Source organism: Homo sapiens, chromosome 4 (assembly GCF_000001405.40).
Source record: "Homo sapiens chromosome 4, GRCh38.p14 Primary Assembly".
Taxonomy (NCBI): domain Eukaryota; kingdom Metazoa; phylum Chordata; class Mammalia; order Primates; family Hominidae; genus Homo; species Homo sapiens.
Genome location: NC_000004.12, coordinates 24,761,422 through 24,773,867, shown reverse-complemented (window position 1 = coordinate 24,773,867; position 12,446 = coordinate 24,761,422). Strand labels below are relative to the sequence as shown.

The following is a 12,446-nucleotide window of genomic DNA, read 5'->3' as shown; positions in this document are numbered from 1 at the left end:
GTGCCCAGCTGTATCTGTATTTTTTAAAGCTACCCTGGTGATTCCACTGTTCAGCCAAGGTTGGGAAGAGAATATAAGAAAGGAATCAAATTAGGGAAGCAGGGAAACACATTTGTCAGGATTCTCTGGAGAAATGGAACCAGTAGAATGTGTGTGTGTGTTTATGTGTGTGTATATATGTACACACGCAATACAATTTACATATATGTATATATACATACATATGTGCATGTATACATATATGCATGTATGCACATATGCATGTATACATGTATACATATATGTATATGTATGTACATATATACGTGTATACATATATGTATATGTATGTACATATATACATGTATACATATATGTATATGTATGTACATATATACATGTATACATATATGTATGTGTATGTACATATATGCATGTATACATATATGTATGTGTATGTACATGTATACATGTATGTAAATTGTATATGGCTTACATATAAATGTAATTGGCTTACATGATTATGGAGGCTGGAAAGTCCAAAATCTGTAGGGTGGGCCAGGAGGCAGGAGACCTGGAGGCAGGAAAAATTAATACTACAGTTCAAGTCCTGAGGCCATCAGGTGGGGACCCAGGGAGGAGCTGATGCTGCACTTCAATCTTAAAGAGTGTCTGCTGCTGAATTCTCTCTTGTTCAGGGAGGTCAGTTCTATTCGGGCCTTCAACTGATTAGATAAAGCCCACCCATTTTATGGAAGGAAAACTGCTTTACTCAGAGTCTCCTGATTTCAGTGTTAATCTCATAGAAAAACATTCTCACAGAAATATCCAGAATAATGTTTTGTTTCTTTGTGTGTTTGTTTTAAAAAGACATATTTGGCCGAGGCGGGTGGATCACGAGGTCAGGATATCGAGACCATCCTGGCTAACACGGTGAAACCCCGTCTCTACTAAAAATACAGAAAATTAGCCGGGCCTGGTGGCGGGCGCCTGTAGTCCCAGCTACTCGGGAGGCTGAGGCAGGAGAATGGTGTGAACCTGGGAGGCGGAGCTTGCAGTGAGCTGAGATTGCGCCACTGCACTCCAGCCTGGGCGACAGACAGACCGAGACTCAGTCTCAAAAAAAAAAAAAAAAAGACATATTTATTCAGCATCATGATCAGACTATTACATTTAGGAATTAACAGCATGGGTGCAACAAAAAAGTCTACATTTAATGCTTTTTGTTGGAATGCTTTATACTTACCACAGAACAGAAACAAAAATAACCTATTATGCAATTAATTACAAATACAGTCCTTGAGTTTTTTGCCCATACACATGAGTATTGTCTAACACATGTCTTCTTTGTGGCAGCTAGGCCCTGCCACCACAGTGCTTGGCTGAGTTCACACATCTGTTGTAACCTGTAGCTTCCCTGTCACTTCTCTGGCTCGCTCTCCTGCCGAGCTTTGTTTCCTGGCAGTAATTAAAATCTTCCCCCACTGCCATAGCTACTGCTGCTACTGAAACCTTGGTTTCATGGTTTGGCAAAGTATTGGCCTCCACCACCACAGGGGCCAGAGCTTTCTGCCTCCAAAGTTTCCTCCCTTCATGGATTCAAAATTTGAAGGCTAATCGTTTTAATTGCCAAAATCATTGTAGCTTCCACCACCTCCAAAATTGCTTTCATCATTACCAAATTCCTTATAGCCATCCCCGCTGCCACCACATCCACCACCATCATGGGTGCCACCAAAGCCAGCACAACCACTGAAGTTTCCTCTATGACTAAAGTTGTCATTCCCATCAAAACCACCTCTACGACCACCACCAAAGTTTCCAGAACCATTTTGACCTCTTTGGCTGGATGAAGCACTAGCCATCTCTTGTGTGACAAGGCTTTCCTAACTTCACAGTTGTAGCCATTCACGGGATGGCGTTTCCAAATGACAGTCTTATCCTTGGAGTCATGGTCTTCAAAGCTTACAAAAGCAAAGCCCCTTTTCTTGCTACTGCCTCATTCAGTTATGATTTCAATCACTTCGGTTTTCCCAAATTGTCTGAAATCATCTCTTTGGTGATGTTCTTCAGTGTCTTCTTTAATGCCACCAACAAATACCTTTTTCACAGTTAAGTGGACACCTGCTCTTTGAGAATCTTCTCTTGAGACAGCTCTCTTTGGTTTCACAACTCTTCCATTCACCTTGTGTGGCCTTGCATTCATGGCTGCCTCCACCTCCTCCACAGTGGCATTGGTGACAAACCCAAAGCCCCTGGAGCTGTTGGTGTTTGGATCTCTCAGACCACACAGTCTGTGAGAGTGAGCCTTCCCCATTGCTCAAAATGGCCCATCAGACTCTCATCAGTTGTTTCAAAGCTCAAGCCCCTGATGTAGAGCTTCCGCACCTGTTCAGGATCTTTAGGAGACTGGCTTAGACATGACGCCCATGGGAAGAGAGACTTTAATGATGCTTTCTTGGCAGCATCCCCAGGCAGAAAGCCAGAATAATGTTTGACCGCATATCTGAGCACCACGGCCCCACCAAGTTGACACATAAAATTAACTATCACAATTTAAGTTGTTTGGAAATACTCAAAAACCTCATGTTTAGGGAGTGAAGACAGAAGTTTGGTGGTTATTTGAAGTTGTGCTTCTCTGGTTTGGTTACAAACAGATTCTCTCTGAAATTCCCCTGTGGCTCCCCCAAGATGAAACTTCTACTTGTCATTTGTAAGCCCTGTTGCCAGAGCCCATAGATTTTATTAAAATTGAGGATTATGAGAAGATACAGTTTTTTTTTAGTTTTCATTATCTCTGAATTGGATGTTTTTATTAGAAGAATATCAACTTTTTTGTCAGTGGTAGCGAGTGTTGTAAAATGTGCAAAGAGATTCATTTTAAGTCATTAATATATCCTCTTAAGAAAATCTGATTCTTTCTGTCCTCTTGAAAGAACCCCAGTGTCCAAACCCAGAACTCACAAAGATTGGTGGCAAGAGTTCTGTTGATCTCAGTAGGAAGGAATCCATGATTTATTGGGAAAATCCTGGACAACCAAATTATCCCTTCTCTCCTTTATAAAAGAGCTTTGGAGACTTTCCATGTCACCAGCAATAGGATTTGCTTTCTTCTATAAATGATTGGAAAGTGTATTTAGAATCGCTTTTTATAAGCAGCTGGTCATCAGGTTGCCTGGATTTCCTGAGGTGTTTCATCTCGGGTAACGGGTGAGAACTTGGGGGCCTTTGGCTAAGCAGCAATCTCAGCTCTGCACGTCCAGCTGGCCTTGTATCCTCTACCCTTCTTCAGGCTCCAGGTTCAGAGTGCACACTTGAAACATTCAGTCCAGTGAGAAGGCCCAGGCCATGTGGAAACAGCAGGGGGTCTGAGGACTCATGCTAAGCCTCTTACAGTGGCCACATGCAACACTCTGGTTCCCAGGGATCTTGGGTTCTGCCTGGAGCCACTTTTAACCTGGGGAACCAGCTGACTGGTAAAGCTGGGACTGCTGTGAGTCAGCAGGAAATTGAGTCAGCCTCATTGATTTGGAATAGGAGGGTGTGGGCTGAGTTTGTGGGGACCCTGAATGGGTTTTTGTGGTCATGGAAATAGCTTCATTTTGCCAGTTATGAATTGACTAGCATTCATGCAGGCCCAGAAGCAGAAGAGTTCGTTAAAGATAAGTCAACCTTTTGGCAGATTGCAGCTCTAAAACAGGAACTATGACATATAGATCTGCCTTGTTTCAGAGACTCAAGGGGAAGGGACAATAGCATAGGGTCTCTCCCACATGGCTTCTCTGCTTACACAAGAGGGTACGTGGGAAGAGCTATCCAAGTATGAGAGACAGCCTGAAAGCGCAGTGTTGTGCTCCTATCCTATTCCCCGCTAAAGTTCAGCAGAGCCTCAGTTTTCTGTGTAAAACCTCTCAGGAATGACACGAGTGTGAGAAGACTTCTGCTGTGTGTGGTCCTGGTTGTGTAGGCAGGACTGGGGTGCACCAGTCCCAGATGCTCCGGTTGTTAAAACATTGGAATATTTTCATACAGCCTGGTAAATAGACATTGACTCAAGCTCTCTGTTTGCTTCCCCACTGTCAGCTACCCAGCCCCTCTTCTGGAACCTCAGGAACTTCCCCAGGATCCAGAAACTAAAGGGTTAATTCCTGGCACAGTGGGACATCCAGAAAATCTGATTCACTCTTTTGAAAGAAAAAAAAACCCAGTAACAAAACCCAGAATTCAGAAAGATTGGTGGCAAAAGTTCTACCAATCTCAATAGATAGAAATTACAGTTTGCTGGGGAAATGATGGAAAACCCAAATACCCCTTCTCTCCTTTATAAAGGGGCTTTGGAGATCTTCCATGTCACCAGCAATAGGATTTGCTTTCTTCCATAAATGATTGTAAGCTTCAGCACCAGGATCAGTTACATCCTTTTGGAATGGTCTTTGACAACACAGCAGTGGTTAAATACAGCGACCATCCCCACTGACTGTAGACACGTGTGTGTTCTGTTAAATGAAGGTGTTGGGCTAGTAACCCAAGGGACTACATCTATGGCCCTGCCCACATAGTTAGCAGGAAATATCCCATGATTCCATCCAGTGAATTCCAGCTATTTCAGTGTTTTGGGCATCTCTCTCATGTACTCGGGCACAGACTCGTGTGTTCTGCCACTTGAATCTCTTCACCATACCACCATATGGTGCCTCTGCCACCAATGATCCTCTTCTGGTGGCCTCAATGCTACCTCCAGCCTGACCTCAGGGAGGGATTGCTACCTCCTTGTGTCCACTTCATCTCACACATGGGCAGGCCCATCTGCTTGTTTACCACAGCAAATCAGAGGCCAGGGTGTCATTCTTATTAAAAACTAGCCTAGGTGTGGGAATAATGGCAGGAAAGTAAAAGCCAGATAAAAACTCACAGATTTGATGGACCCAGGTCTATCCCTGCATTTTTACAGGTCAGTTTCCTAGATTGCAAACTGATGGCCACTTTGGGGCTGGGCTGGGCTTCCCTGAGCAACTGTCAGAAGCACCCCAGATGTCCCCACACCTTACAGCCCAGACCAAGCTCCAAAAAGAGGAAGTGCTTTTCTCACCTACATCTAGGCCCAAGACCAAGAGCTTGGTCAAAATGAAATAACACCAAACTCACCAGTCTCTCTTCAGTGGTTCAAACATTTTGCAAAGGAGTCAGACCTGGAGTCAACCAGGTATAGAATAGTCTTCAATTCCCATTTACCATAAGGATGTTTTATTATTATTTCCATTTTGTGGAAGAGAAACTGAAGCCCAGAAATGTTTAATAACTCAACTAAACTCACACAGCTTGTAAAGCTTCTCAGGCCTTGTACCTGGATGATCACTCCAAAATCCACGCTTTTAACCACTACACAAAGCACTTTTCTCGTGGGGATGAGGAAAGTTCTTTAAAGTCTTTAATCATCAACAAGTTGCAAAAGTGTGAAAGGCATATGGAGCTTTTGAGTTAGGCATGAAGGCAAGCTTGAAGAGCTTTACTGGGTTTCATATGAAACAGAAGCCAATAACGAAAAGCTTAGAAGAGGATACATCAGTGGAACGATTTTGAAATTTCCCAGTTAACTTTTTCACCATCTTACCTGTGATGCCAGGACAGGTGGCTTCAATCACAGCACTAGCGTTCTCAAGTTCCTCAATTGCCCTGTTCCTGCTAACATTATCCACACGCAGCTGTTTAAGATCAGCAAACACAGGTGCAGTGACTTCAACCAGCTCAGTGTTTTCACAACACCTTGATCTGCCATGTTCTGTTGTTTCTTTTGTATCAGGCATCATTCCATTGTGATAAAGCTGCATTTGGGATGAGTATGATCGTCCCAGCTGATCTTTTCCAATCAAATTTGTCATTGCTATATTTCTTCCTTCTATCCTTAAAATCTACACATCAGTTGAATCAGTACATCAGTTGAATCAGTACATCAGCCTTCTGATTTACTTGCTAGCACCACAAAAATGCCCTTATTCTAGGTAATCTCTTTGGTTTCCCATGTAGGTGAGAAACTATCCCCAGATTGAATCCTTTGAGGACAGGGACCATGTCTTAAGCATCTTTGTCTTTTTCTTAGCCCCTGGCACTGCACCTGATGTAGACACATTGGAATTTCCTTACCACCCACTTCAAGTCCATCCCATGGCAACTCTAAACCATTTCTGTGTATCTCTGCTGTGCAGAGAAGGTAAGAAGCAAACCATTCTCATCCCCCAAACAGCCTTTTATTTTCTTAAATTTCAATTAACCTTCTTTTCAACATTTCTCTCATTAGGCAAAGTGACAAATGTGATTTTCCAAAAATTTTTTCTTGCTACTCATGGAAGCCGATTTTACATGGTGGCATATGCACTGGGCCAAACACCTTTAAGGCAACTTATTCACAGGTGTAGAGGATTCCTATGTGGACCTTTTTGGGAGGCCATTGTGCGGCCTACCACAGGCAGAAAAGGTACTAAATGACACAGAACATCCTATTGTGCTAGAAAGTAAAGAAATGCTCAATAAATGATCAGGGCATGCCAAAAGGATACCAGGAATCAGCTTGAAGGACTTTTTATTAGTTTTCTAGGGCTGCCATAACAAAGTACCACAGTCTCGGTGACTTAAACAACAGAAACTTGTTTGAGCACCGTTGAGAAAGCTGGAAGTCCAAGATCAAGGTGTCAGCAGGATTGACCACTCCTGCAGCCTCTCTCTGCAGCTTGCAGATGGCTGCCTTCTCTCTGTATCTTCACATGGCCTGCCTATGTGCGTGCATTTAGAGAAAGAGGAGAGCTATTTGGTGTCTGTCTTCTTATAAGGACACCAATCCTGTTAGATTAGGGCCTCACCCTTATGGCCGTATTTAACCATAATTACCTCTTTAAAGGCCCTATCTTCAAATGCAGTTACATTGGGACTTCAGGTTTCAAGATACACATTTTGGGGGAACACAATTCAGTCCATAACAGGACTCTGGATCTGTACTGGGATCCAGGTCCTGCTGTGTGAGCAAAACTAGGTTAAGAAAGTTCTCTGGACATCAGCAGGTAGAGGGAAGTCTGGGTGTGTAGTGTAGAGCATCTAATAATAACACATAGCTTTTAATTCCACATTGCTTGAGTGATTGAATGCAAGAACATTCTGTTTGGACAGATCTGTACCACTTTTCAGTTTCAACATTTGACCTATGTCTCCTTACTTGTTTCATGGGGCAAACAGAATTTAATGGCCATGAAATGTGTGAACCTACTTGGGTGTCTTGATCCTGCACATAAGAGATAACACTTTTGGGCTTCCTCCTGGCCCTAATTAGTCCTTGAAGTGTCACATAATAGCCCTGTGCATTACTGCTCAATCCGACTTCACCACAGCCAAGGCTACCTTCATATCCAACTGGTCATGTTGTCAATGCTCCCTCTCATCCTCAAACCCAACTTAAAGTGATTCTCATGGCTATCCCAAAGATAAACTGTAAGATAAAAGGAGCAGAGGTTATAAAGAAAAAGTATTGAATCTCTTAGAAATATGTTTTCTTTTCTTTCATTCATTCTTTCTTTCCTACTATAAAATAAATGGAAAAAAATCATCTACAATAATGAAAAAATACAATATTTTTTGCATTTCTTTCCAGTGTTTTTCATATGTCCATTCCTGGATACTGCTTTCAATCCCAGGTCATATGCAATTATATATTCTGCTTTTTTATCCCTAACCTTAGAGAATTTAATATGTTGTGTGGCAGTTTTAAAACATATCTGCAAATTGTTTGTCACTCATCTCATGGAGGGGTGGTACCTATGTCCCCTACCCATGAATCTGGGATGACTTAGTGAGCACCTTATAACCAATAGAATGCAGCAGATGTGATGTTGTTTTTAACTTTCAAAACTGGGTCAGAAAAGACCATACAACTTCTGCCTGGTTCTTTTGGGATGTTAGCTCCAGGGAAAACCAGCACCATGAAGAAGGCCAAGTATCCTGAGAGTGCTGTGCTAGAAAGCCCACATGTAGACACCGAAGACAGCCCAGCTGAGCTCAGAGCTGACAGCAGAGCCAGCTCTTAACCGCACACGTGAGCCATCTTGGACATCCAGGCTGGTCAAGTCATCAGATGTTTGCAGCCCCAGCTGACATCTTACTGCAACTGCGTGAGTAACCTCAAATGAGAACTGCTCAGCTGAGCCCTCTTCAAATTTCTGATGCACAAAATTATGAGCAAAATGAAATGGTTGTTGTAGGCCACTACATTTAAAGACAAATTTTCACACAGCAATAGTAAACAGAAAGAATTGTGGTATGTGGAAATGAGGGTCTGCAATAATAGAAATCTAAACCACATGCCATTGGTTTTGAGACTAGGCAGCAGGCAAGGGCTGGAATGTAAACTGAAACCTGATGGGCCTTGAGAAGTGCAATATGTCAGGGAGGGCTTAAAGGAAGGTGAGGGAGATTTACAAGAAGCTGAAGGAGAGGAGACCATGGTTATGTAGTGGTGGAAAGTTTTGCAAAACTATCACCTGCAGTAATGTGGAAAATAGAAAATGTACTAAAGGAATGCGATGATCTAGCTAAGAAAATTCCCAAGCAGAGTGTTTAAGATGCCATCTGGCTTCTTCTAATTGCCTATGATAAAATGAAAGTAAAGAGAATAAACAAATAAACTTTAAAAAACCAACTATTTTATTTTCAAGGGAAATTTGAAAGAAATACAAAGGGCTCAAGAGAATATTTTCAGTCAGCAAAGGATTCTTAAAGTAAGAAAGGACCTTAGGGAAAAGATCAAACTCAGGGCTCTTTCGGGAAAATGCCACCAAAGGGTAAAAATAAAGCCAGAGGGGCAACTTTACAACACTTTTTTTATGATTTCAGAAAGATTTAAAATGGTATCTCCTAGACATGGTCTGCTAGATAAAATGTATCTAAAGATCTTAAGATCATGCTTTGTAGTAGATCACCCCTCTTAAATCATAGAGCTTCTAGGCTCTGAAAGATGTTGCAGCCTTATAGAGAATCAAAGATAGAGAAGAGGCTATCCCAAAGACCCTTTGTGGTATTTGTCCAATGAAGGGACTCTAGTAAGATTCATAAAAGCTAACAAATATTTCAAGGGAATTATATTGGCAGAAGCAATATCATCTTGGTCTGAAAGAGACAGAAGCAGCACAAAATGAAAGTGGTTCTGATCCACAACCTTCTGTGGGAAGGAAGCCAAATGAGAGAGCCACCCCGCCGCACTCACAGGCTGCTTATTATTAAAAGGGAAGGACGACTCAGAGGGAAAAACCAGGAGCCCAGATGGAGGAGCTGAGAACCTAGAGGAGGAATTCCCTAGCACAATCAGTACAAATCAGTACTGATGAACAATCCCCTAGTACAATTAGTACAAATCAGTATTAGTACAATCCACAGTACTGGATGACATGAACAAAGAACTGGTGACAGGTACCCAGTTGAATTTCAAGTTTCTCTGGACTAGTGACTGCTCTGTGCTTGCCATCCCTTCCTTTTGGAATAGGAGTGTCTATTTTATTTATTCTAACCCTTGATCTCTTTAGTCCTGAGGTCTTCAGAAACTTGAGCAGATGAATTTACACCTGGACCTGACTGAGATGATGTGATCCTGAACGTCCAGCCTGAGTCTGATGCTGTAATAGTTGAGCCTTTGGGAGATCTTGATAAGGGAGAGAGTATGTTGCATGTGGGAGGTATGCAAATAAGACTGTAGCAATTTTAAAACATGTCTGTAATTCCTCTGACATTCCTCCCATTGATGGGTGGAGTGTGTATCCCCTCCCCTTGAGTTTGGGCCAGCATTAATGTCTCACTTTTAACCAGAAGAATACAGGAGACATGACACAGCATAACTTTCAAGATCAGATTAGAAAAAGCTACGAAGCTTACACCTGGTGTTCTTGGGATTTTACCTCTGGGAGAAACAAAAACCCTGTAAAGAAATCTGATTATCCTGAGGCTGCTATGCTGGAGAGGCTGCTATGCTGGAGAGGCTGCGTGTAGGTGCTCTGGCTGACAGCCCAGCTAAGCTTTCAGCTGAAACCAACTGCCTGTCATGTGAGTGATCCATCTCGGATGACAAGCCTAGTCATGCCATTGGAGGACTACAGCCCCAACAGAGATCTGAATGCAGTCCACGACAGACTCCAAGTAAGAACTTCCCAACCTTTTTGAATTTCTGACTCATAAAACTGTGAGCAAATGGACCATCCTGGCTAACACAGTGAAACCCCATCTCCACTAAAAATACTAAAAATTAGCCGGGCATGGTGGCGGGCACCTGTAGTCCCAGCTACTCGGGAGGCTGAGTCAGGAGAATGGCATGAACCCGGGAGGCAGAGCTTGAGCACTCCAGCCTGGGCGACAGAGTGAGACTCCGTCTCCAAAGAAAAAAAAATGTGAGCAAATGAACATGACTGGTTTAAACTGCTATTTTTTATTGTTTTTGTTTTGAGACAGCATCTCATTAGGGTCTCATTCTGTTAGCCAGGCTGGAGTGTAGGGGTGCAATCACGGCTCACTGCAGCCTCGTCCTCCCCAAGCTCAGGTGGTCCTCCCACCTCTACCTCCCAAGTAGCTGGGACTGCAGTCACATGCCACCATGCCTGGCTAATTGTTGTATTTTTTTTTGTAAAGAGGGGGTTTTGCCATGTTGCCTACAGTGGTCTCAAACTCCTAGGCCTGAGTGATCTTCCCATCTTGGCTGCCCAAAGTGCTGGGATTACAGGCATGACCCACATTGCCCGGCCTAAACCGCTACGTTTTCAAGTAATTTTGATATGCCCCAATTATAACTAGATTATATTGTTACATAAATATCCTTTGAATTACATAGCTGCTTTCTGTTTTTTTCTTCTTCTTCAATATAGGTAATGAAAACAATCATCTTCCTTGTTTTCCTTCGTTTGGATTATTTCCTTAGAATAACTTTCCAAAGAAGAACAATCAAGTGACAGAGGATGAATATTTTCATAATTTCTAATTCATACTGCCAAATTACTTTCCTAAAAGATAGTACCAATTTGCCACCAGCAACTTATGATATAGAAGTTTTATTGTAACTTCACCAGATTGGGTGTTGTCATCTTAAAGCATATTTAAAAGCATCATAAATTCAAAAGCTGTTCTGGTGGACCTGGTGTGAAATTTCAGTACTCTGATCTTAGGAGGGAATTTACACTCGTTGTAGCCATAGAATCCTCTCCTGCTCAGTCTAACTCAGCCCTTTACTATCTAGTTAGTGCTTTTTTTTTTTTTTTCTCAATAAAATTCTTCTACTGTGTTCTCAGCCTCCTTCTGGAAAGTTGGCCCAGGAGAACATTTGTAGCCTGAGCTAGATCTACTCCTCTGCATTGCTTACATGTATGTCAAAAATAGCCCTGAACTATGCTGACATTCTGGTCTATGTCCAGCTTGATACCAAGTTATCATTGATTGAGAGTTAAGCATGAGTCATGCATATATTCATTTCATTCATTCTCTCAACCAACTTGCAAGATAGACTTTATCCCCCCTTTTAAGATGAAGATACTAGACATCAAAGACATTCAATAACTTGCCAAGGTCACACAATTTGTAACCGATGGAGACAGGATTTGAACCCATGCTTTTGGCCACTACATTTCACTGCCTCACCTAGTCTGCTGATCTATTGGGTGTTTCCTTCCCACTTTCCCAGACTTCCTGGGAGGAACCTAGAAGGCAGTGGAAAATCACCCTTGGCTCCCTTAAAATACTGTCTATTCCCTCTAAACACTGTCTTGATCCATATTTTTGAACCACCCCAATTTAAAAGTCAATATTCATGTCATGCCTCTGTCTATATCCCCATATGGCAAGAACATTATAATGTGTCTTGATGTATATTTTGTTAGAAATTATTTGGAGGAAGTATAAATGAATATGCCTGTATAAATATATGAACATCTTTTCTGAAAAATTTATTTATGAGTCTAAGAAATGTTCAGACTTCTTAAATAAAATGGAAGAAAAAAGTATTTTGAGTTATTCTACTTTTCTCTAGTCCTTTATCTTTCTCCTTCTTCAGGATAAGCTGTGATATGAAAAATTGAAGCCAAAAAAAGAATCCTCTGAGAGATTGAAGAGTGCGCTATAAACATGATTTTGCTTCTCAGGAATGGGAATTCCATGAAAGCAAGGACTTTGTTTCATTCCCTGCAGTGTCCCAGCATTTTAACAGCACCTGGCACACAGTAGGTGCTCTGCTCATATCTGCGGAGTCAATGAGTGTGCTACCTGGGTCCCTGCCCAACAATGTCTAGTCTCTACAGTTGCAGTAATCTGTCATGCAACTTCAAGCCGTGCATCTGCCACTGAACCAACCCTAGGCCCTTGATGCTCAAAGCCTGGTCCCTGGGCCAGTATCTGGAAGCTTGCTCAGCAATGCAGAATCTCAGGCCCCACCCCAGACTCACTGAATCAGAATCTGC

General features: G+C 42.2%; 1 long non-coding RNA gene and 1 pseudogene across 1 annotated transcript; one reads left to right on the top strand and one right to left on the bottom strand.

Moving 5' to 3' along the window:
• Positions 1–1,247: 1,247 nt before the first annotated feature.
• Positions 1,248–2,461, bottom strand: HNRNPA1P65 (heterogeneous nuclear ribonucleoprotein A1 pseudogene 65; annotated as a pseudogene).
• On the top strand, positions 6,077–11,993 carry LOC124900683 (uncharacterized). The gene is made up of 3 exons (XR_007058079.1): positions 6,077–6,187; positions 7,924–10,146; positions 10,866–11,993. It is a non-coding gene; the product is annotated as an uncharacterized LOC124900683 (long non-coding RNA).
• The last annotated feature ends 453 nt before the right edge of the window (positions 11,994–12,446 follow it).